Genomic DNA, 25,736 nt, shown 5'->3' with positions numbered 1-25,736 from the left:
GAGAGCCTGACACCCACTCCCCCAGTAAGCCGACTTCTACCCCAGGACTACAAGGAGTCTGAGTTTTTTCAATTTAACCTGACCTTCTAGGTATTTCTATCAAGGTAGGACAATAGAACACTTTTATTTAATGGCTTGTTAACTTGATATTACAACTTTCAAATATGTAGATATATGGTGTGCCTCTATGTGAGCTCTTACCCTTGACCCCAGAGACAGGGCCTGGTGGAGACGGATAATAAGAGACCAAGAGGCAAAGTATTAGTATAGAGAGGAGTGATTTTTTTGTTGTTGTTTGTGTGTTTTCTTTTGCTTAAGATATGGTAAACTTAAGCATATTTTACCCACAAGACAAAATCTCCAGTAGAGATATAGGGAGAAGAAGAATAACAATAGAGCATCCTTGAAGAGCTAAGAGAGCACAGCCTTCTGGCCAGGCACGGTGGCTCACACGTGTAATCCCAGCACTTTGGGAGGGCCGAGGTGGGTGGATCACTTGAGGTCAGGAGTTGGAGACCAGCCTGGCCAACATCTCTACTAAAAATACAAAATATAAAATTGAGCCAGGTGTGGTAGCACACGCTTATAATCCCAACTACTTGGGGGGCTGAGGTAAGAGAATTGCTTGAACCCAGGAGGAGGAGGTTTCAGTGAGCAGAGATGGCGCCACTGTCCTCCAGCATGGGTGACAGAGCAAGACTCCATCTGGAAAATAAAAAAGAGCATGGAGTTCAAAACTGGTGGTAGTGGGTGTTAGCTCCAGAAATTAGGAGCCACGCACGTTCCTCTGAATTAGGAAGAGTGGTTCTGGGGAATAAGGACGTCCAGGGTAAGGTCAAGAGAATGACCGGCTGAAATGAACCTAAGCTGAGCAATGAATAATTGTCTGCATTTATCTTTTATCTGTCCTTCCAGGAGCTCTGACAAGTACTAAATACAATGAGACGTAAAGAATTTAAATTATTCTGGGGAAAGAAATTAGTAGTCAGTTCTGGTATGCCATGTTGAAGTAAATTTCATAAGTGAGTATATGGAAAGAAATCTGGAGTTCAATATCACTGCCAGAATATTGCCTTGCTTTTTTAAAACAAGGTGACTAAATGTCAGACTAATTAGTGTAATCCATTTCACCCATAAATCTAGCACTATAATTCTCAAACTTGATTTTGCAACCCTAGTAACCTCAAGAGCTACTGCAAAACTATATCCAAATACTCAAAACAGGTTTACTTTTGATTCACCTTAAAAATTATAAGGACACATGTGCTCAATGTCAGCTTTTTATAAGACAGAGGAGAAGTGGTGAAATCAAATTAAAAATAGTACGATTTCATAATGCCCAAAAGCCTGTAAATGTCTATACTAAGGAGTTGGAATCATTCAAAATTCCCAGATAAACTGAATTTAAGCATTGATACATGATATGGTTTGGCTGTTCCCCCACCCAAATCTCATCTTGAATTGTAATCCCCCAAATCCCCATGTGTTGAGGGAGGGACCCCGTGGAAGGTGATTGGATCATGAGGGTGGTTCCCTCATGCTGTTCTTGGGATAGTGGGTTCTATAAAATTTATGGTTTTATAATGCAGTTTTCCCTTCTCTTGCATGCTCTCTCTCCCCTGTCACCATGTAAGACGTACCTCTTCCCCTTTTGCCATGATTATAAGTTTCCTGAAGCCTCCCCAGCCATGCAGAACTGTGAGTCAATTAAACCTCTTTTCTTTATAAATTACCCAGTCTCGGGTATGTCTTTATAGCAGTGTGAAGACGGACTAATACAATATGCTAATGCAAGTGGGAAAACTAAGATTGATTTTGGAATGAAACATGCAGTCTCAACTTAAGAACACCCAATTTACAAAACTATATATATCCAGACAGAGTCATACTGAATGCCATGTTCTCCCACATCAATGTCAAATGCTTAGCATGGCCAGCAAAAAGCTGTTCCTTTGCTGTAATGCAACCGTGTCTTCTGAATATGGATCCATATTCACTTTCCATCTTATCCTCCATCAGACACACTCTTCTTTTCCTAAAGCATTTGCAGGGCAACAGAGGGTTCCAGGTTTCAGAATTTAAACAGTCGTATCTCATTGAAAATAAGTTTAATGATTATTAAGTTTCCAAGCTAGATTACAGAAGTCTTTTTAGCCCATATCATAAATAAAATAGTTCTGAATTTTTCGTATGGAAAAATATACTCTGAGTTCCAAGCAAACAACTTAAGAAAATTTTTAGAACTAACACATTCCTATATTGGGAAGAGCTCAAAAGTCTGTTCTTCCTCCCCATCCACTGTTGTTTAATTAATCTCTTAATATCATAAAGTCCCTCATGTGCCAAGTGTAGACAGTCATTTTTGAATCAGGGCTCACTTTGTTAGCTTTTTTGTCAATTAAACCTCTTTTCTATATAAATTACCGAGTCTCAAGTATGTCTTCATAGCAGTGTGAAAACAGACTAATACAGGAATTTGGTACCAGGAGTGGGGCATTGCTATAAAGATACTTGAAAGTGTGGAAGCACCTTTGGAACTGGGTAACGGGTAGAGGTTGGAAGAGTTTGGAGGGCTCAGAAGAAGACAGGAAGATGAAGGAAAGTTTGGAGCTTCCTGGAGACTTGTTGAATGGTTTTAACCAAAATGCTGACAGTGATGTGGACGATTAAGTCCACACTGAGGTGGTCTCAGAAGGAGATGAGGAACTTATTGGGAACTGGAGTTGCCAATAGATCAGCAGTTAACCAGAAGCTTGAGTTGAGTATGGACCTGACATATGGATAGACATATTGACATCTTATGCTAGTGTTCTGGCCCTCCCTGCCCCGACAGTGATAGAAGCATCCATCAACGCCCATCCTGACATCAGCATAAAGCACAGGTTGGAGAGATTGTAGATAAAGGCAGAGAGGCTATTATAATGCTTCTCACCTCCAGTTCCCCAGATGGAAGACAAGGAGGCCCTGGAACAAAGGAATGGCATTTGGGACAAAGTGATGTTGGCAAGTAAGAAATGCAGCAGTGGTCCAACCCACAGGAGATGCCAGACAATTGCTCATGGCATGAGATAGGGTCATGAGGAAAAGCTGAAGAACTGAAAATCTTTCTTCTTCCCTCCCTAGGCATTCATGCTCCCACCTCATCTACATCCCACAGATCCTCCATTTTCTCTAGGTATGAGATTTATTTCCAAGCTAGACTGAAAGCTGGAAGAAGATGGGACACATGTCTGCTTCATTTTCTATTTCCCCAGCATGTAGGTGCAGCACCCAGCCCCTAGTTGTTTATCAATTATAGGTCTTGATGGTCATGTCCCCAGCCTCCCGCCTCAGGAGTAGGCTTCACATGTCTCCCTTTCAGAAACAAAGCCACGTAAGACTCCAAAACCCCGCCTTCCCTTGGGCTCCACACAATCAGCATACATCTTTCCTTATCTGTTTTGTGCTCTGAAAATCGTGTCTACCTCCAAATGATACATCTTTAAAGTGAGTCACCCCTCCTCACAATCTACTCCAAAATTTCCAACAAGTTTTCTTCTTTTCATTCTTCCTCCCACCAGCCTATCCTATTCCCTTCTCTCCCCCCACAAAATCTAGCTCTTCTTTAAATACATTTAAACATTTTCGCTAGGACATTTCATCTATACAGGATATGCTATATTCTAACTATTTCTTAGTAAACATTGAAGGGAGTTTCTTCCTTTATTCAAGTATGGAACCCTGCTCAATATCCTTTTGGTCTTCATATGCCTTCTTTCAAGGCCTTTGTGAAATTTTTTTCCATGCCTGAAAGCCGGTGGGGTTTTACACAGGGACTGCGATGGCTAAATCCAAGGCAGAGTGGGATCTTTATCTATTAACCATTTGATAACTCAAGTTTATCCCTTGATGAATGAATAAGTTATCATTTGCCTTTGGGTCCCATTCTTGAGTGGTCATGGAGAGTTCTGTAGCTCACCCTCTTTATACTCATAATTTGCACAAATTTCACCTAAGAGTATTTACTTAACCACTTTAATTCAATTTGTCTCTACCTAAGACATTTAATTCAACAAATATTTTTTAAGCTTCTCTATAAAAGGGACTCTGGCAACTTTCAGACCCGCACTGTAGCACCAGCTCTCTGCTGGCCCACCCCTTGCAGACTTTGGGCTTGCCTGCCTTCAAAATCATGTGAGTCAATTCCTTAAAATAAATATATTTTTATTTATTTATATATATGTTTGCACACACACGCGAATCTTATTTTTTCTGTTTCTCTGGAGAATTCTGACTAATGCACCCCCATTCACCATCCAGGCTTTTGAGGAGAAAGATACCAATCTTAGCAGCAGAGGACACTCTGGATAGAGCTAGGAGTTTGTTGCAGAGTCTGACAAAAGTTCCCTCTGCAGAAGGGATGGAAGGATAGCCTTGGGGGTTGATTTAGGACTGGGTGTATGACATGGGGGAAAAGAAATCCCTGGGGGAGCTAAATGAGGGGAGGTGGACCCCTTATGATAGTTTATCAGAGCAATCTAAGAAATCATGTAGGCCTCTAAGAAAGCATCAAGAATCAATGCAATTTGATTAATTGACTTAAAATATGTTGAACTTTTCAGCCTCCATTGTGTATTTTTGGTGCAATACTCTGTGCAACTATTTCATCCAAGACCAGAAGGGGCTGGAAGATTGCCTGCTTCACATTAAAACCCTCCTTATTGTATTGGTGCTGACACGACACAAGGATATGCAGTCTTTATCCAGTCCTTATTGCTCACAGAAAGATACCAGTCCTTACTGCTCACAGAAAGTAGTGAAGCCTCCCTTCACTCACAGAGCCCACACAGGTATGCCCTGGTTTATGTAATGAATGGGCTGCTACAAATAGGTGTGATGCATGCCTTTGTGAATCACTTTATATTTTGAAGACACATTAGAGGAGCTGGCTATTTCAAAGAAATTTCACAAGTGCCTCATTTCTTAATGTCACAAGCATTTCTGATTTATAATCATAACCCCTTTCTAATGTATTAGCTTATGAAGTTCCATTTTTTGCCTAAGAGGTTTAATCAAAGCAAGATAAAACTATGCTTAATAATATTCAGTTACCTGAAAGAGCTATTGCAGAAATGCCTAATATATTACCAGAAAGTAGCTTAATGTCTCAAATAAATGTCAAGTTGTCCAAATCAAACTGATAGGCAGCTTAATGAGGGATAAATGTCATAATTATCCATATTTCTCCACATTTTTTTTAGAAAAAAACATTCACACAATGAAGGGAATCAGAATCTGTTTTTATATCCCTAGAGTTATAAACATTTGTATCAAAATATTTACAATTATAGTATATGAAATAATCTATTAACGAAGAAGCCCAATACAGTACTAGAACAATCCACCAGAGTAATGCAAATTACATGAGACATAAATGTCACAGAAAAAAAGTAAAAGATAAGGGAATACATGGTTTACTCCAGTCATAGTTCAACTTCTTAACAAAATGTGAGTATTCCCTTTGGATATGTCTGAAATGTAAGTATGTTTTTTGCACTAAGACAGCCTTCTATAATCATGTGATAATGAAATCATAATGACAAAGTTCATCTTCCCACAGTTTTTGCTGGCCAATCTCTCTAACCTCAGCCTAGGTAATTTGGTGGCTTGCCCTCAACATTTCCTTAACTAGAATAAACATAGAGAAATAGAATTAGTAATAATCCTTTTACATAAATACCAAAAATCATGGCATAACAACTCCCCAAAAAGGAAAGGTATAAAAGAAATGGATGAGGAGAAAGCTAATAAAGAAAAGTAGGCAAGATGTCTCAGATTCTCCCTGGGGTAGATCTTCTCAGGGCGATAAAGAAAACGTCTTCCCAAAAAACCCCTTTAGACAGAATCTGAGATGGCTTAAAATAGCTGCTCCAGGGCAAAGCAATGCCTGCTTAACCAGGAATAACATACTACTTCTAAGTCCTGTATAGAGGTGCTCCTGCGGCAGCAGACAGCTCGTCTACCATCTGACTAGGTACCACAAGAGTTTTTGCTTTTTTATTTTAAAGAAAAGATCTGCCCATCACCTATATTTTTATTTATCTCATGGGATTTTCGTATTTTCCTGGGAATGCAGGCACTCTGTTCTTATCATGGCTGAAATACGGTAGGCTTAATACTTCACAATTATATAGCACCTTTCACCCAAGGGCCTGTTGTTTGGTTTTGGTTTATGTGTGTTTTAATCAGCTTCCAGAATTGCCATGCCTCACCTGTGAAGTGGGATAGGCAGGGTCCCCAAGAGGTGATCACTCCAGGTGGTGTCTAAGCCAGAGCTACCACTGAGCCTAGGAGCCCTGATCCTCAATATTGATAATTAGACAAAACTTCCTCAAAAATGTTAGAGGAAGAGTAATAGGATTGTGCTACAATGAGCCATGTCCATCTCTCTCCTGTTGTATACTTAAAAGAAACACTGACTGCATTGAGGGGAATCCTAAAAACATAACCCTAACATGGCACTGTTGCAAGACTGCCCCTTGGATCCCATAGTTTGTGTGGTACTTTTACCACCGAATTGTTCACTAGTGACTTTAGAGAAACTCCAGAAGAGCTGCCTTGGCTTTCAGCAAGAGGCCTAGCAAAGACCATGGCATGAGGTCTCCATGAGGGACAGCCGTGTGTGAGGTCTCGACTGGGCTCTGACCATCCCCCAGGTTTTCCATTGTGAAAAGGTCTCCTTCTTGGTTTAGCTAACCCACCAGCATGACCTTACAAACTCTCTTTCCTCCTCCCATTTTGTCACTGAATTCCACAGAGCTAAATATCTGTTCCAAAGAGGGACAATGGCTCACAGGCCAAAGCCCCCCAGTAGGCACTTCAGACTGGAATGTGATGTTTTGCTTTGGGTCAGAAGGGCAGGATGGCTTCCAGGCTTAGCGTATTCAGCACAAAGACAGTATCTGCTCTTGCCAGAACTTGTACCGCTATTTTAACTCAGTGCAGTAGGTCTGTGGACCTCAGTGCATGACCCAGAAGTGGGGCTGGTGTTGTGGCAGCTGATGGGGCCCCAGACAGTGTGTGTCACTAAGAACAGCTGGAGGCCAAGTCTGGTGGCTGCAGGGAGGCTCTCTGGACCCCATCAAGGGAGCATCAAAGTACTAGCCAACTACTTTCTCCCCAGGGCAGGGGCTTGGCAGTAGAGAATCCCCTCAGTAATGGTTTGGGATTTGACCTCCCCCCTTTGCTTCCCCCTCCCCCCTCCCCTATCTCGGTTTTTCCTGTACAGCAACCTCCACTTCCCTCCCAGATTCAACGGCTTCCTCCTCCCCACCCCCCAGATCCCCATGAACTCGTCCGGCCTTATTTCTTTCTCAGGACCAGATAGAGAACGCCGATGATGAAGCTGAAGCAGAAGCAGATCCAGCCCAGGATGTAGGAATAGCCGTGGTGATACTGCGTTCCATCACGATTCGCATAATGACTAGTGTAGATGGACACCCCCACAAGAATGCACAGCCCTGCAGGGGAAAAGGAGATTTGTCGGTGTGTTTTCTTACATTAAAGTCGAGAAAAAGTTTTACTAATTTTAAGAAGATCCTATTTCCCTCATTAGCAATAGGAAAATGAATTCTGCTTGTTTGTCCCTAAACAGGAGTTCTGATGGATGTCCCCTGGGCCAAGCTCGACGGTATGTTGATAAATTAGAGGTGTCTGGGCTCTCATGTCTGCACTGGTTTGTGTGGCCACGCTGTGATGTAAAACACAGAACCTCATGCCTACCACCCAGCTGTCCTGTCTGGCCCTTGTGGGTCTAGGAAAGCTACTCAGGGATGCAAAAGAGCATGTCCTTCCACCAAACCGAGTATATTGGGAAAGAACAACAATTAAGTGAGAATCACAATAATGATGTGCATTGTGGCAGTGGTTTCATCTTTCTGAGAACTCCTACCTTTCTGCCTTCTTGAAGTGTCTTGTACACACGTGCTACTAACAGATATGCACTGCCACTTGGTAGCTACCCAGGAGCACTGGTTTTGAACAATGAAGCAGATGAGGGTTCTTAACCTAAGCAGCAATCCAAGGTTCTCCACAAGAGAACAAATAACCAGAGGAGAAAATTGCACAAGGAAGTTTCACTGAACCATGTGCTAATCTGTTCAAGTTGCCAGAAACACCCATGGTAAGATGGACTTAAAAGTGTAAACTGGAGTCTACCCATGAGATACTCACAGCACACCAGTGTGGTGGCCCCTGAGAGGAAGAACCGGTTTCCCTTCTCCATGGTGAAGAGCTGGAACACGAAGACCAGGAGGGCAATGACACAGAAGATGATAGAGAGAATCATGAAGGCCTGCACTGTCTTGAGGGCATCTGTAGACACAGGACGAGGAGAACAAGGGCATGAGGTCACTCCAGGGGCTGAACATTCCCTGACCACACCTATTGTCAGCACTGGGTCAATATCTTTATATATACCTTCACTGGCATATGACAGGCTGTCACTGCAGCTAATGTTGGTACAGTTTTTCCAAAGACCTACTGATGCATCTACCGTATTGGAAACCAACCAGACCTGAAACCAGAAGGAAAGAAAATGTTAATTGAAAGCTGGCCCTCTGATTTAAAAATAAAATAACAAATCAGCTTGCATCGGGATCAGATTTTAATAAAGACATTCTATTTAGCTATAACTATGGCTATGCAGCTTATCTGTGGGCGGAAATAAGGTCCGATTAAAACTGAAGTTCACAAAGTTGCCAAGAGAAGAGACACAGAAGAATGTGAAACCCAGAAAGAAATCACCTAGCCCTCTTTGGGCTCCACATTCTTCACGACTTAACAAAAATGGAAGTAACTCAACCACAGTGGTTTAAAATTCTAAGGTTCTGAGAAACAGAAGTCCAGGATGAGGAAACTGGCTTAGGTATGTGCAGTTCATATACTCTAACAAGATTGTTTCATTTAAGTCCCTGGTTAACCAGGAAAAAAGTGAAATGTCCAACTGGAAACAATTAAGAAACATAAGACCTACTGGGAAAATAACAATGAATCTAGTGGTTAATAAGCCACTTTCATCTAAACAGAAGGATCAAACTTGACTGTCACAACATGCAAAGTAATTTGATAGTAAAATACTACAGCAAGTGCTTTCCTGTAGGGGCTACTAAAAGCTGAAGGGTGACCTGAATGGATTCCCCCAGACTGATCATGGTGCCGCCATCCCTTCCTGCCTGGCCCAAGAAAAGGAATTATCCTTCTGGAAGAGAAAACAAGTGCAGTGTCCTGTCTACACACACACAAATGCACACACTGGAAAGGTGGGGCCGGGAACATGCATCACCTACGCCAATCCCTGCTCTTCATTCAATAAACAACTGTGTGCCTAGCCTTATATTAGGGGCTGGTAATTCACAGATACGCAGCGCTTTGGCGCTCATTAATACACTTTGAAGAAGCTTATCAGATTTATCTGGATAGATATAGGAGTTGACATATAGAATGGCTAAATTACAAAACAAGGAGGTCACGTGGGCGGGGGTTGTCTTATCACAGTTATTCTTAATTAGCCTTGCTTATGATCACACCCACTAATGTTTGCAAAGCTCTTCTATCTGAACTTTAAAACTCACTTATACTTTAACTGTGATAGGGACCTAAACAGATTCTGAAACCATGGTTTGCCTGCCTAGTGATTGGTGGCCTTGGTTTTTAGGTCCAAGGAGCTGGCTTTTTTCTGAGAAAAGCACAAGTAAAAGCAAATTGGGCGCTGTAAGCCACCACTAGAGGTCAGAGTAGCCCAGGGTTCAGAGAGAAAAGACACTACCTCCATTTTTTTTTTCTCGTTTTGTCTGAGTTAGTTAATTCAGTGGCACTGGGTTAATCTTGCAAAACTCCACTTTCACATGCTACTCTTTGCTCAAAATTTGAATTTGTCAGTCTGGCATCCTCTTCTTCCCATCTATCCTTCTAATCAAGCTTCTCAGAAGGAGGGGAAGTTCGGCTCCAGCCACATAGGTGTGTGTCCTCCTTATCCTCTGACCAAAGCTTGTCCTTCCTACATATGCTCCTTTGCTAGCACTCCCACCTGAATGCATCCCTATGATCCTTCCACCTTCCCTCTTTCACTAAGAGAAACCTCAGCCATCTACCACTCCTCCAGGTTCACCTCAAGCTCCACTCACCCCTGCTGCTGGGAAGGCTCTTCTAGAGACCGAAGAAGCTGCACTAGATCCTCCAGCCCTTAACCACCTACAGCTCTGGCAGGATTACTCCTGTGGACATTCACTTTTATCCTCCTGTTATTTAATTGTTTGAAGGGCAAGCGTGTGTTTATTTTGTTTTCCCACAACTGAGCTGTAAGTTCATGAAGGGCAAGGGCTGTGGCTTAAACTTCTTTTGTGCACTTGATGTAAATATTCGAATGATTTCTCAATGAATGAATGAACAAAAGAACATTACTCACATTGGCAATGGTGCTAACAAATAGCATAATAACAGTAGCGATGTGGACCACAAAGATACCAGCCAGCAATACCAACATGTTGGCTCTTTTTTTTTTGGTAACTTGTGAGCAAAGAGAGTTCTGAAAAGAAAAAGAAAGGGACAAAAACGGTTACTGTCAGATTCAATAAGACGACTCAGCTTTCCCACACGTGTGGGCTATCTGCTAACATGAGGAAGAGCTGCACTAAAAACCATCACAATCTAATCATAAATTCCTGAAAACACCCCTGTAACCTAGTTCTGATTTGCCTAAGTGCCTATTCATCCAGTTATACATACCTACATGGAAACAGAATTTGGTTTCTTCTTGGGTATTTACATATTCATTTCTCTAATACATTCTATTTCAAAAAAGGAACAAGAACATTTTATGATAACTGTTCGTATTTTATTTTGTTTGTGTTTTAGAGGTTAAAAATAGGACTTTGATTTTCAAAGAAGTAGGCCTTTATAATTTCCAGGTCTCTGAACAATGTCATATAAATGTCCATTTTCCACTAGGAAAATGTCCATGCTTTCATCAAATTGCTCACCCAGCACTTTTAATAGAAGTAAATGCCTTCTGAAGAATAGCAGCTATTACTCAATGCCCATATACTGAATAGGCTACTAATATGATCCTGGGCGAGATATAAAATGTGAGAGGCACAATTCTATTATTATAATGCTGTTTGGTTTTCAATAATTATAACAACCTAATTACAGTTTAATGGTCTGGTCACCCTGTGACTGAGCATTTCAGACTAGTATTACTACACCTGAGCCTTTGGGCTCTGTGTGCCTCATGGCAGGAAGCCTGCCATTGGTCTGGGCAGAGAGTCATATTTTCCACAGCTCAATGTGATGGTTCTGGGGGCTTTAAAAGTAATGCAACTTGAGATAGCACCAAATGTGCCTTCTCCTTGTACATGACATTTACACAAATTCCAATCCTTCAGGACTCAATACAGAAGACAGGCAAATGCATAAATCACAGGGTGGGAGGATTGGGAACTAATATCGATTAAGAATGTGCATGGATAAACAAAAGCTTTCAGCCATAATCACAGCAGAGAAGGGAGCCCATTGATCATAAAGCCTAGGAAATAAAGGAAGTGTGAAGGATACACATGGGGGAGGCTATTCTGATTTATGTCAGCTACAGAAGGAGAGCTTTGTCATGCCTAAGACTGTCACAAAGCAGTGCAGGCTCAGAGGGACATCAAAAGGAAAGGGCTTGAGGTTATTCACACCCTAGACAGAATGGATGTGTGGATGCCCCAACCAAGGGAGGAGATGGCCAGGCGCATCCTGCAATTGTTCCACTGCCCTCTCTCACTCCACCTAATTTAATTGATGCTTTGAATGTGCTTGAGGCACTTTCATGCCACATCAGGTATTTATTAGAGAGCACTGATACTATAATTCCAACACTTCACATGCCTTTTATCTCCTCTCACTGTCTTTATCAGGCAACCAAAAATCTAGAGTGATCTAATATACATCAGGGTGCCTTGCTCTCTGCAAGCAAGGAATGAGAGGCAGACAATGGCTTCCACCATTCTCCCTGACCGTCTCCAACAGCCCCTTCCCAATCTGGCCACTTCCTTCCAACCCAGGCTGTTTTTTAGGAATGTGTCCAACTTAACTGTGAATGCAAAAATTATGACGTTTATCCTGCCTCTTCAGGGGAGAGGTTGGAGCTTTCATGTCTGCTATTAGTAATCCCCCCACACATTCAAATTCATTTTTGCTTTTCTCAGGTTCTAGCACACCTCCCCAATTTTCTGCTTGACTTAAATGCACAGTAAAAAGAGATTTTTGAATCAGACAGAGGATGAATTAGAATCATATCCAGTTATTTGACCGCTCATCTGTTTCCTCATTTAGAAAGTGGAAGTCGCAATGTCAATTGCAAAGGGAAATGTGAGGATGAATTCAGATTGTTTATGTAAAACACCTAGTGTCTGACACATGGCAGCTACTAATAATGGGGTTGCTTTAGCTGCGGTTATTATTATTACTATTATTCATAAGTGAAGCCGGGTAGCTGTTGCCAACCCAACCCAGTTACTCAATCGCTAGGCTGCCCCATGTTAAGTGCAAGTAATAAGATATCTGCTGTCTAGTTCACGAGGCAGGGTGTATACAATCCTTTCGGTCCTCTTAGAAATTGTCATTTGTCTAACCCTTGCCCCTTAAGGGGGGAGACCTCTAAGAGCACACCCTCAGGAAAGACCAGGAGAAAGTTCACTTTCTCAGCCCAACTTCCTCATACCTCCCAAGATTCACACCTCACCAGATCCTGATCTCCTTGCCCCCTATGGGGAAAGGAACAGGCTGATTGCAGGGAATTACAAATATTACATAACGAATACTTATGTTTAATCCTCCTCGGGCTCTTCAAATGACTTTCTTGTTCCTGTTGCTTCTAATTTACAAACATCCTCTTCTTAAAAGGGGGAAGGGCTGGAGGGGCCAATGACAGAATATAATCCACCAAGTGAGGCCACTTAAATGAGTCACAGAAAACATTCCCTCCCTGATAGGCTGTTGGGAATTCAGCAGCATTTTGTCTCCTTGGGTTGCTCTGTAACCCCTAAAGTCAAGTCTGATTTCCTCTGCCCAGCTCACACTCTCTGTCTCAATGACCCCTCCCACGGCACCTCTACCTGGGCCCATGCATCACAGCCCTGGTGGTGTGTGCGAGTGCCTGGCCCCTGGATCCACCTGACCATATGCCCTGCCCATTGCAGGCTGGAAGAATGGATGTGAGAATCAAGCAAAAGAGCGACTCTCTTTCATCTTAGATTTTTGTGATGGTGCCCTCCCTGTCTTTTCACCACGGAAAGAAGCAAAATGTCTTGAGTTAGCAAGCGGTCTTGTGCAAAACACACAGTTCTCTCTGTTTTTAGCTGCTGTATCCAGCCAGAAGGAGGGGCTGTTTAGCTTAAGCTACAACTTCTCCATCTTTTCACTGGCCCATTATTTGTCAGGTTTTACTAATATCATTCACTGTCAGTTTAGAGGGGCTTCCATTATTTTCAATGGCCTTCCCCCCAACACAGGTGAAAACAGAATGAGTTATCTTCTTGAGTTTCTGGGCTGAATCATCCCTAGTTACCCAGTCTTTACACTGTGCTAGATACCTCCTGCCCCCAGGGAAACCCTCAGTCTGGGAGGAGGCGATCACTGAGGTCTTTATGAAAAAGCCATTAGTGGTAACTAATGGGTAAATGTCTGGGCATTTATCAAATAGCAGAGTATAATAAACAGAAGAACCCCTGCTCCTGAAACTTCCACCCACCCATTACTTGCAAGGTAGCTTGTGGGGAGATTCATTCTCTGCCCCATTGTGAATCTTGCTTCATACAAAGGCACTGAAAAAAATACCATTTATGAGAATTTATACCATTGGAAGTATTGGTGGCTACTACTTATTTCTTAGCAGTGTGTTTCACTAAAACAATAGTAGACTTCTCCCTCAGCCCTCTCTAAAATGATATGGGTGGCACTCTCCAGTGGAAAGCATACCCCTAGTCCTAGTGAGGCAGCGCAAACCAAGATGCAGAGAATCACAGCATTGCAATTCTGAATACTTTGAAGCAAGACCCGCTTTTTGCAGAGCATTTGGTGCACTGAGCAGTTCCAAAGTTGTAGGGGAACGCTCATAACAGCGTTCATTTGTGGTGCTTAGACTCCCAGACCTAGGCCAGCAGAGCTTATCAATTCATTGCATTTTTAAAGAACAGGCCGTCCACTGACTTCTATGTGGATGCCAGGAACACATTTCTGTACCCACCACTGTGAGTGGAGGATGATCTCCTTCTTAAGCCTCATCTACCTAACATACATGGCACAGGGGCAGTTAGGGGCTGGGTGGGAAACTGAGGAAGGTATAGGACCCATGTATGTTGACTCTGGAGAGAAGTATTATTAAGAGAAATGGAGATCAGCACCTCGGAGCCACACACAGGTCTCTGATATCCCTTTTCTGTTCTTCTTTCTGCCCTAACGGACAGGCTTGCAGTTCCCTACCTCTGACCACCATCTTTTGTTTCTGATCACTGTTCCTCCTTTTCTTTCTGCATTGCCCAGACCACACTAGAGCAGAGGTGTCTTTGTGCTCCTAGCTCTAATGCAAACCTCACAAACACTGACCATTCAGTATTCAGATAAAGTTCTTAGCTAACAGAATAGCTAATATAGTCAGTAGAAATAACCCTGAGGGAGTTCGAGATCATCCTGGCTAACGTGGTGAAACCTAGTATCAATTAAAAATACAAGAAATTAGCCGGGCGTGGTGGTGCACACCTGTAGTCCCAGCTACTGGGGAGGCTGAGGCAGGAGAATCACTTGAACCAGGGAGGCGGAGGTTGCAAAAAGCCAAGATCGCTCCATTGCACTCCAGCCTGGGCAACAGAGCAAGACTCCGTCTCAAAATAAAATAAAATAGAACCCTGAGGATTAAAATTGCTCGTGACTATAGCTCTAAAGGACTAACTAATATGAGACATGAGGGAAGGGAAAGAGGGATAACCAAACCTCTCAAGTTATCTCCATCCATTTAAATCTTTATTGGCTTCTTGCCTCCCTCTTACACACCACACACACACACACACACACACACACACACACACAAATGAAAGAATCAAAGGAACACAGCCCTGAGACTGCCATGCATTGCCTTGTTGCCTTTGTTCAGGCAGCCTAACACTTTTAGGGTTCTCTGACCAGTGAGAAATTACTCAGGCCCCCATGGGAGCCTTTCCTTTTCTGGTGGGTAACTAAATCTGCAGAGACTTTGAGAAGAATTGACTTCTAAGGACCAGAAGGGAAGTTTAGAGGTGCATAATTTGGTTCCCTGATTGCTAACCTAGGAGTCAGATAACTTCTTCCTGTCCAGAAGTCTGTGTGTTCACTGAACTGCCATGGGGCCTGGCGGCAGCAGCAATTCTTTAAGAGTGACCTAAAACACAATAACTGGGAGCAACACAATAGAATAGAGCAACCAAAAACCCACTTCCCCAGTGAAGGAAGTGGTCAAAATCCTGGGGCTTGAGTCACTGAAGAATTAGCCCTAGCTGAGGGGTGGGAGGGGAGCATGCTCAGAAATCAGGAGCTGAAGACGATGCAAACACTGGGGGAGGCCCTCAGGGCTCAAATTTCCATGATTCATTTGAGAGTGGGTGAGATTCTCCCAGAATGAAAGGCATCATGGAGACCTTCTCTACAAAAGGGCACGAGAGAGCTTTCTGAGAAGCAGGGTATGGATCTGGCTGGCATTTCCCTGGCAGCTTAAGAAAGGCCAGGATTTTTCTGGGGAGAAAAGAGCAGTAATGACCACTGCCAAATGTCCTATCTTCCCTTCCCCTCATTCCACTTTTGTTGCCCAAAACATCACAGTCCTACCCTGAGTTTCTACCTCCATTACTTATCTCACATCCTTCCTTATGTTCTATTCCCATTGCTACTGTCCAGTTCAGGTCCTAGCCTGACCATGGCATCAGCCTCACCCATGACCCTGTCTCTGAACAACTCCCCTCTAACATATCTTCTACCCTGCTACTGGGTTATCTGACCATGGCACTCCCCTGCTCAAGAACCTCCAAACCCCCACCTCTAACCACCACCAATCAGCAGGAAAGAGGCTCCACGCACCTCAAGCCAGCCCTTGCAATCCCAGGACTTGGATTTCCAAAAATAAAAGCTCTGCTTTTGTATTCTTCTTTCAGTGACAGTCTATCAAATTCTTTTCAACCAAGCTAAAATCCTACCTCTTCTAAAAAGCCTTCCCAGATCCATAGGTTAGGAGCAGTTTTCTTTTCTCTCTTCTTCTATTGCCCTCACATAGCTTTTTATTAAAACCACTGATGACAGCCCTAAGATTTTAAGTCCCTGAAGGGAGAGTCTTGCCTGTGACAGGTACCAAATAAATATCTGTTCAATGAACAAATAAATGAATTAAGGATGGCCATATTTTCTTCCCCATGGAAAAATAATCAATGTCAAAATGACTGAAGACTTCATAATAAACACAGAATTATAGAGGGAAAATATTTCCTTTTTTTTTTAACATACATAGACTTTAGTCCTTTATTATTTTTCAGAAATTGCTTAATACTTTACTACAACTATGTATTGAGCATCTTATTGTATGCAAACTTTGTTATATATTTCTATATAAATACCTATGTAAATATGTGACTGTTTCCTGAGTGCATTTGAATATACAAGGGTATATATGTGTGTGTTGCCTTTTGTTCAAGAGGAAATAAGTGAATGCAAAGAAAATGTCTTAAATTTCTAAACACTAGTTTGTCTGCAGATTTAATCTTTCTCTCTACTTCTTTGAATTATAGAATCTCAGGACTGAAGAGGGAGGTCTTTAAAATTCCTTTTCAATTCAAGAAAGTCATCTACAAATCTGACCAAAGAACTATCTGAATCATGCTTAACCTCCTCCAGTCATGGAGAGCTCACTACCTACCAGGATCCCTTCCCCGATTAGAAAGATTTTTCTGACAATACGTCCGAGTGTGCTCTTTGCAACGACCACCATGACTTTTAATTCTGCCGGTGAGATTACCTGACTAGACTAATTCTTCCTCTTTCTAGCATGGTTGTCTTCACAGCAGAACTACCAGGTTATCAGAAGATTCACCAGAGGCCTTCACCTTAGATCTCAAAATCTCAGTCAAGTCATAACACAGTCCTGAGATTACTGCTAGACACTCCCTGTCTTTTTGCTGGCCAGTGTTTTTCTGACAGTGAGATTCTGATCTCTTTCTGGATAACTGTAAACTTTGGAGAAAGCTTTCTCACAGCATCTGACCAAAGACGTGGTGCTTCCTCCAAAGCACGAGGAGAGAGAGAGGCGTAGCCGCTTCTGGTCAACTGACCCCCATGAGTCAGACGACCCCACACCACCTTCCTCAGCGTGACACCTGAAACTCCGCAGCTGCCTCTCCTTCCTAAGACACCACGCAGGGTGGCACGAAAGCCTTTCTGTCCTCTGCGCAAGTCGGGAGCATTTTGCTTTTGTTGGTTTGGTTTTGATGTGTTTGTTTCCCATGAAGGATCATTTGGTTGGCAAAATGGATGCGCATGTAACACAAAAGCAGAAAAGGAAGCACTCCCTTCTGGGGGCAGCCGGAGAGGATGTGTCTGGAGGAGGAAAAGACTGGGATTAAAGGCAGGCTGAGTGGATGAGACCTTGGATGAGCCTCTCTGGCCACTGTTATTGTTGTTTTATATCAAGTGTACTTTTCCATTCTCAATATTGTGTTTATGCAGGGGTGGGAAAGCAGGGGATTAATTTCTCCGTGGGAAACATGGGGAGAAAAAGGATTCTCAGGGGCCATTTCCTCCGGCCTCTGCATAGCTCATGTTTGGTGTGGAAGGAAGGAACCTCAGGTAGGACTTGATGTTGGAAAATACAGGGCAGTTTTTACAACCAGGAGAAACATCGTCAATCAAGCAGCAAAAGTAACAGGGACCTACATGCTGCAGGGAAAACAATTATTTTTTTCATCTTCCAAATGCAGGCTATTATAAATGGGGGTTATTATACAGCAAGTCGTGTTGGTCTGGTGCTGTGTAGACTAGCACAGAGTCTCACATAGTCAGGGGTGAGGAGCCAAGGTGTGGGTTGGGAGTGGGGCAAGCACACTGTATGAGAGAGAGAGAACCTATTGGAGAACCAGATTCTTATAATAAATCTGCCCCTGACCAACTTCTGACTTTAGAAAAATCACATAACCTCTCTGGTCAGTGGCTCCTACAGGCACAGAGTTCAAAGTAGCACAGAGCAGGGATTCTCAGCTCCAATCCTGGCTCCACCATGTCTGAACTGTGACCTGTAGACCTCACAGGATTAGCATGAGGGCTGAAGGCCTGTGCCAGGCACAGAGTGGGGGCCACACAGTTCCTGGTTGGTTGGTCTCTTCCTCTGTGTAAAATGAGAGGCTCGGGCCGGGGAAATGGGCTTTATGCTTCTCTGGCAGAGCCTGAGGGCCAACAATTATGCTAAAGGCAAACAAGTGGCATGAATATTGTTTTTGCAAATGCTCCCAAGAAGAATAACCTCTCTCTCTTATTTCCGCTTGTCCTCCTTCGTGTCCAGGGGAGGGGTGGATCTGGGCAACATCTGCAAAGACTGAGGCCAGACCTGGGCTGTGAAGTTGGGGCCCAGCCTACTCCCCCAGACTGCAGCTGGTCAAGGGATCAGGCGATGTTCCCTGGGCGAGGACGGAAGCGTGAGTTGCCTTCTGCTTTTGACAAACGAGTGTTCTGGCAGCCAGAATGTCTTCAAGGGAGAGGTTGCCAAGATAATAACTAGGGGTTTGGGAAGAAAACCTAGGTGTGGCCCGGCCCCAGCGGCGCTTGGGTGGGACCAACAGTAGATGGCGGCAACATGCTTCAACCAGCAAAGCTGCAGCCTCCTGGAAGGCGGCAAGCTGGGAGGGGAGGCCCCTCGCCTAGAGACACCCCAGACCCATCAGGTGGGCTCAGGGCTTCATTTCAATTCGTTCTTTAGAGGTTGAGAGGCATTGAGGTCATTCAGTCCAACCCCTTGATAAGAAGGAAATGCACGTCCCCAAAGGAGAAATGGAATTGAATCAGAACTGAAGCCATTTCGCACCTTCCAGGCAGGGCTCTTCCACCTGGCATGATTTTTTCTCTCCTGTCTCTTGGCTTAGGGTTTGGTGGAAGTTCTAGAACTTCTACCAGATCTACTGTTCTCTCTTTTCCTCCTACCCTCTCTGAGTTAATCAGAGAGTCAGCATATACCCCTTAAAACTGTGCCAATTATAAAAACACAGGGTCTTCCGAGGCCACTGCTTCTCCCTGTCGTTTTGCTGAGAAGTCCCACCCAGCAGAGCCAGCCTGCCTGGCCAAAACAGACCCGAACAATATCCCCCTGCAAACTCCGAGCAACCTTCTAACCCTCAGCACAGGAGTCCCCACCCCACCCAGACATGGAGACTATCTTTCAATAAAGGGAAGCTCCAGGTCTCAGCTTCAGAGCTTTCTCTGAGATCAATGTGAACACACTGCCTTGCCCCAAACTAGTTGTTTCAGGGTTGCAAACCTCTGTCCAACTCCCCTTCTCCAGCGTCCTGGGGAAGGGTCTTTGATTCTTTGAAATGAGAAGTCTAAGGATCAAGAACCCCGTTTTGCTCTCAGCTCTGATCTGACCTGGAAGAGGAGAAACATTGAAGAGGTTCCAGCCTGGTGGGCACATGTAGTGGAAACTAAAATGATACCAAAGAGGTGTCAACCATCCTGAAAAAACAAGAAGTAGCCAATGCGACAAAAGATTCTTCACAGGGGACAAAGAATCGAATTTTGACCGAAGGACTGCCTTGAAACATTGAGGGTGGGTGGTCCCCAAACAAGAGTGGAAGGATGGAAGGGGAAACATCCTCATCACTTCTCCCTTGCTCTTTTGCCCCCTTTCTGTCTTTCTCTATCCACTTAGCTTTTTCTCCTGCTTCTAGGTCTTTCTGCCTGCCTCCTCCCTCAACACACAGGCCTGGGAAACAGCATCCCACTTGCCCTCCCTCCCTCCCTCCTGTCCTAGTTGCACCTTCCTCTTCCTCCTCTCAAACTGTTCCTCATTTGCTCCTGTCCACACCTGTACACCACACCTTCATGCTGCAGGGTCTCCCTCCTCAAGAAGAGGGTGGAGTTTCTTTCCCAGAGCCAGCTCAGTTTCTCCCTGAGCCTGATTCTGTTCCTGGTGAATGCTTTGCTGTTGTCAATGTCTTCACAGACTCAGCCTGCCCTCCTCATCTGAGCTGGCACCCTTTACGTTTAATTACTCAAACCTCTTTCTTTTATTCCTAGTGCCGAGTGAATGCTCATGGCTGAGGGTAAGTCCGGGGAACACCATACCTAAAGAATCTGTGAGTGGATGGGGCAGAGGAGGCTCCGTGGGTCCTCAAGGCACCCAGGAGACGAGAATCCTCTGCAAAATGCCCTTTTCAATGCCACACGTTGCCCTATTTCACTTTTCTATCAATTTTTACAGATTAAGCCAGCTGCTAGCATCAGCGCAAGGGATATCTCAAAATAGAAATGGTAGGATCTTAATTTTTTTGTTTTTCGTTTTTTTGGTGTTTTTGTTTGTTGGTTTGTTTTGTTTTTGTTTTTTTTGAGACAGGGTGTTGTTTCATTGCTCAGGCTGGAGTGCAATGGTACAATCATAGCTGACTACAGCCTCAAAGCCCTGGGGCTCAATCAATCCTCCTGCCTCAGCTTCCCAAGTAGCTGGGACTACAGGCATGCACTACCACACCCTGCTTTTTAAAATTCTTCTTTTAGAGACAGGGTCTCACTATGTTGCCCAGACTGGTCTCAAACTCCTAGGTTCAAGTGATCCTCCCACCTCAGTCTCCCAAGTAGCTGGGATTACCACGCCTGGGTGAATCTTAGAATCTCAGAGCCATAAGGGGTCTGAAAGAACCACCAAGTTCAACTTCCGAAAGCAAGAAGACAAGTGTCTCGCCTGTGGTTACATGGCAGCGTCAAGATAACACCACTGCCCCTCTGTCTTCCTAGTCAGCTGTCTTACATCTGCTCCAGGATTCTTGCCACGCTTTCAACCTGTGCTGAAAGGGCTCTCTAGTTTAACTACCCGGTTTGAAGAAACAATTCATGAAACAGGCTCAGCAAATAGAAAAACTGTCACAGCCACGTAAGTCCAAGCGCACCAACAGCAGAGGATTCCATTGCAGTTCCAGGGAAATGCCATCTCCACAACACAAAAGAAAACCTTGACCCAAACATTTTGTTAAAAAGGAAGAGAGAAGCAGCAATCACCACAGGTGTTTGTGCTTTCATCTTTCTGCTTTAGTATCAGTGAATCTCCCAGGTAAATTGAAGGAAATGGTTTTACCCAGGCAGGACACCAGGGACTGAATTGTTGCAAAGAGCAGTCTCAGGACGTGTGTATGTCGGGGCTGGGTGCTGAAGATTCAAGTAAACCCCTAACTGGAACCATATTTGGGCTTCCTTGATTACTGAATAGCAAGTGCAGTCCAGAAATTCAAGATCACCTGGGCGGATCTGGGAAGAGTATTAGAAAAGGGAAGCTTATGGTGAGAAAATTCCCGTTCTACGCTGGTTAAGGGTTAGGAGCTCTTCTCAAGGGGCTGATACCCAGATTGCTGGCCAGCAATTACAAGGAGGCTACATTTGATGGGCAGCCTGTTCCCGTAATTACTATGATGGGTGGTGACAATGTATAGGTGTGGGCTACATGAACTATGGACCAAATTATGGGACAATCCCCAAAAGGCCTAGCTAGAAGCCTGTGTCCTGGTATTGGATTGATCTAACCATGACCTAGTAGGTAGCAACACTGGGTGTGTCCCTCCGAGTATGTACATCTGAGAGTCCCAAATAGGCCTGAGCTTTTGTGTTAGGCAGCTATGTACATACATGTGGGAGGTTAAAGAAGGAACCATATTCATGCATTTAGAAAATTAAATACCTCCAAATCAAAAACCCCGTGAGTATGATTGACTATGTACATAATTCCAAACTTCAAAAATGCTCCCTGCCCTTCTGAGCCTTAGGCAAAAAAAAAAAAAAAAAGAAGAAGAAGAAGAAGAAGAAAAGATAATGCAATGTAGATCCATCAAGTTGTATTCATTAAATATTAAATAGGCGTTAAGTGTTTAGAGGATGAGAATCATTGGGTGGAGCAACAACAAAACCAGAATAGATATTTTCTGAGTTGTTTCAGGCCAGCAGAATCAGGAAGTTATAAGGAAGTTGATTTTGCTTGATTTAAGGAACTTTAATAAAATTAGAGTTGGCCTGCTAAGGGGAATGAGTGTGGAGGTACACACTGAGGTTCTGAGCTCCCCGCATCTGGAAATTTTAAGATCTGTAGGATGGCCATCTGTTCAAGATGGTGTAAAAATTAGATTTCTGCATACAGTAGGAGAATGAATGAGATCCAAGATCCCTCCCAAATTTAGAATTCTGTGAACGAAATGAAGGATGAAATGGAACTGACTTGCCTCCTGCCCTTTCCTGTGTCCACGTTTCAGTTATGTGCCCCACCAGGCTCCATAGAGTCTACAGAAAAGCAGTCTTGCCTCATCCACAAGTTTTCCCCGGTCTTCAACGTGTCTCTCTCCAGTAGTCCCTGTGGGTCTGGCACTACCTGAAATCCCTAGAGCCACCCAGAGCAAGCCAAGAGGGTCTACATTCCCGGGTGAGGGGTCTCCATGAAGCCCACTGACAAGGCTGGGAACTTGATGGGCCTAATCTGGTCTCTGGAGGAAGCAGGAAGGGCTGAGGAAGGCACAGTGAGTCCTTTCCACTCTCCACAGAAGGGATCTCTTTCCTTTCCCCAGCGGTCTGCCCAGCAGTCCTGGGAGATAGCCAGATTCTAAGGATGTGATTTGCTCCAAGTTGGTTCTTGATGGCCTTTTGCCAACTCCCAAGACAGTTTAGTACCCACAAACAATGTAAATGTGGGGGGCCCTCTGACCAGGGCGCCAGACAGGATGTCCTGCAGCCCCCGCCCCCGCCCCATTCTTCGGAGTCTGGGTGGAATTGGATCTGCCCCTGAGGGTGGGAGGCAGCGGGCAGAGTGGGGGGGAAAAATAACCCTCACATTTCGGGATTGTCAAAGCTGAAATCCAGAAAAACTCTCACAGCTAAGGGACTCTTTCACTACTTCTTGGAGGAAGAGCAGAGAGCAGGAATCAGAACGGTATTTTTCTAAATTGTCTTCAAACTCCAGGAAGTAACATGTAGCATATTTTCTCCTTTATAAACCTACAGTATCATGTGAAACCTTGCCACAAATAATGCAGTTCATGATGGTTTACACTCCCAACATTGTCAGGGCTTTCCGTGTGTTGACTGGTTATTAGTTTTAACCTGCACAGAACTAAAAGATTTGTATAATTTTCACAGGATATTAACACTATTGATTTAATAATGGCTAATCCACATCCATGTAATGTGGAAATAATAAACATGTGAAGCAAATGTAGGAGTTCCCTTCATCTTGAAAAGTTGCCCTGATGCCTACTCAATCGTCCCCCTTGGGGCAGTTTTACAAGGAGCATTGCCTGCTCAACACAGGGTTGATTACATGTAACTTCTCTCCCAACGTACTGCCTTTCTAAAGGAAAAGCCTAACTTTGTCAGACAAGCTGAATCCTGTCATTCTCATCTTGTTTACTTGGGGAAAAAATATACCAGTGTCTATGTTGAAATGGGCCACACCTCGGTAGACACTCACCCAAAATGCTAACCGAAAAAAAGAAAAAAAGAAAAAAAAGAAAAAGCACCCTTCTTCATTCCTCCAGATTTCATGATTAGCATGAGTGTTTGCATTTATACAATCACATTTCGGGAACAAGAGAAAAGATAAGCATTTCAAAACAATCACTGCCTTCCATGCAAAGAAATTCCACATCCACTTTCTTTTAAAAGTTCTTTTATCGTTTCTGGTATGCCATCTTTTCACTCAGCACTGAAAGGCAGCTCTTTCTGGGGTGAAAGCACAAAGCCACTCAACAATTTTTAACAGGCACAGATGAAGTTCTCCTGCCCCACCCTCTTCTCCAAACCCAGCTTCCCTTTTGCCTCCCCCGCCCTCCACATCTGGCCAAGAGAAGGCATCTGGAATCCTCATCAGCTCCTGCTTCGACCAAGTGAACCCCTCCCACGTTTCATTTAAAACACCATTTGCCTCCCTCTCTTTCTCTCTCTAACAGTTTTCTTTTTTCATTTTTTTTCTTTTTCTTTTTTTTCCTTTTTGAGACAGAGTCTCACTCAGCTGCCCAGGCTGGAGTGTAGTGGCGCAATCTCAGTTCACTGCAACCACCATCTCCCGGATTCAAGCAATTCTCCCGTCTCAGCCTACCAAGTAGCTAGAATTACAGGCACCTGCCATCATGCCTGGCTACTTTTTGTATTTTAGTAGAGACAGGGTTTCACCATGTTGGCCAGGCTTGTCTTGAACTCCTGACCTCAGGTGATCCGCCCGCCTCAGCCTCCCAAAGTGCTAGGATTACAGGCATGAGCCACCGTGCCCGGCCAACAGTTTTCTTTAAACAAACCAATCCCCCTCTTCCCATCCTGTGAGGAGAAAAAAAATACTTAAATTTAAACAGAAGTGAATAGGGAAGCAAACAGGCAGGAAAAGCAATGTCAAAAATAAACTGAAAACCAGTTATCTATCCACCACCACCCAAAAAATCCCAACCAACAACCAGCGAGCAGAGTAACAGTTCAAGTCCTGAAGCAATCGGAATCAAAACGGAGGAGGTGAAAAACATCTGGCCAGTTCCCGATGTCATTTCCAAGGTGTGTGGTGTTTCCTCCATAAACAGGATCCTATCCCAGTTTGTTTCAAAGTCCCTGCTCCCTCCACATCCTAGAACAAGAACCCGGTCACTGCCAGGCACGATTTTAGCCCCATCCCATTGATTTCCCCAGACTCCGTCCTCAAAATACACTTTTCTGAACTTTCTAGAAAAAGTTGTCTCTGTATCCACTTTGAGCCAAAAGTTTCAAGGACTTGGTTCTTAGAGGATCATAGAAAAATAGCGAAGGAAGAAAAGAAAAAGCAAAACTAAGATGAGGTCAGAAGAAGCAGAGCCGTGGAAAGGAAGGAGAAGTTTTGCTGAGAGTCCCCACAGCGTTGGGAGCTGTCCTACCTGAAGGGTCCCAGCGACAGAGGCGCTCTGAGTGGCAGGTGCTGGCAGCAGCCCTGGTCCGCTCTTCTGGAAGTATGTGACCGCACTGAGGGGAAGGACCTGCCTCCCGAGGTTATAAGTTTCCTCTGCTGGTGTACTGGGGTGTGTAATGGGCGGTTTCTTTTCACCGTGTTTTAAAGGAGTTTCTATGAATCAGTCTGGCTTTAAAAAAAAAAAAAAGATTTGTTGGTAAGCTACGCCCTGCTAAGCTGGCAGTCAGTCAAGAGTGGCTGGGAGTGAGCCATCAATTCAAAGAACCCTGTTGTAGGCTCTCTCTGACTCAGACACACAGACCACAGTGGAAAAAAGGAGGGACATTGCTTCAAATGAGTAACAGGATCACACAAATAGATCTGTTTACTGAAGCCCATTCCTCCTCACCAAAAAGGAGACTTGGTTACCATGGACATAAGGCAAAACACAAGGTTTCAGCCTGGGAGGGGGAGGAAAGGGGCCAGTGTCCTGCTGACTGAAGTCCTAGGTCATCATCAAGCGAGATTCCCAGTCTTCCTCCCCCATTAAAAGCATCAGCTGCTG

At 44.0% G+C, this 25,736-nt stretch overlaps 1 protein-coding gene across 1 annotated transcript, besides 1 other annotated feature; it reads right to left on the bottom strand.

The window, feature by feature from the left end:
* Nucleotides 1–2,091: 2,091 nt before the first annotated feature.
* Nucleotides 2,092–25,307, bottom strand: EMP1 (epithelial membrane protein 1). The gene is made up of 5 exons (NM_001423.3): nt 25,161–25,307; nt 10,445–10,564; nt 8,458–8,554; nt 8,212–8,352; nt 2,092–7,499 (listed from the first exon to the last, which is right to left on the bottom strand). Exons 2-5 carry the CDS (start codon nt 10,520–10,522, stop codon nt 7,342–7,344), a joined length of 474 nt encoding a protein of 157 aa, NP_001414.1. The 5' UTR covers nt 10,523–10,564; nt 25,161–25,307; the 3' UTR covers nt 2,092–7,341.
* Nucleotides 22,767–23,267: an enhancer, noted in NCBI's record as "H3K27ac hESC enhancer chr12:13351700-13352200 (GRCh37/hg19 assembly coordinates)". NCBI's record gives its function as "activates a minimal SCP1, AML or CMV promoter by ChIP-STARR-seq in naive H9 embryonic stem cells {active_cell/tissue: H9 hESC(naive)}" and the evidence as "EXISTENCE:reporter gene assay evidence [ECO:0000049][PMID:30033119]".
* Nucleotides 25,308–25,736: the final 429 nt, after the last annotated feature.

Source organism: Homo sapiens, chromosome 12 (assembly GCF_000001405.40).
Source record: "Homo sapiens chromosome 12, GRCh38.p14 Primary Assembly".
NCBI classification, from domain to species: domain Eukaryota; kingdom Metazoa; phylum Chordata; class Mammalia; order Primates; family Hominidae; genus Homo; species Homo sapiens.
The sequence above is the reverse complement of the archived record's forward strand: the minus strand, read 5'-3'. Positions and strand labels throughout refer to the sequence as shown.

Excerpts from the sequence above, each read along its gene's own strand:
- EMP1 (NM_001423.3), bottom strand. The coding sequence starts at position 10,522 with ATGTTGGTATTGCTGGCTGGTATCTTTGTGGTCCACATCGCTACTGTT. Across the intron at positions 8,353-8,457 it reads CCTGTCATATGCCAGTGAAG|ATGCCCTCAAGACAGTGCAG; the intron begins GTATATATAAAG and ends CTGTGTCTACAG. Across the intron at positions 7,500-8,211 it reads GGCCACCACACTGGTGTGCT|GGCTGTGCATTCTTGTGGGG; the intron begins GTGAGTATCTCA and ends TTTCCCCTGCAG.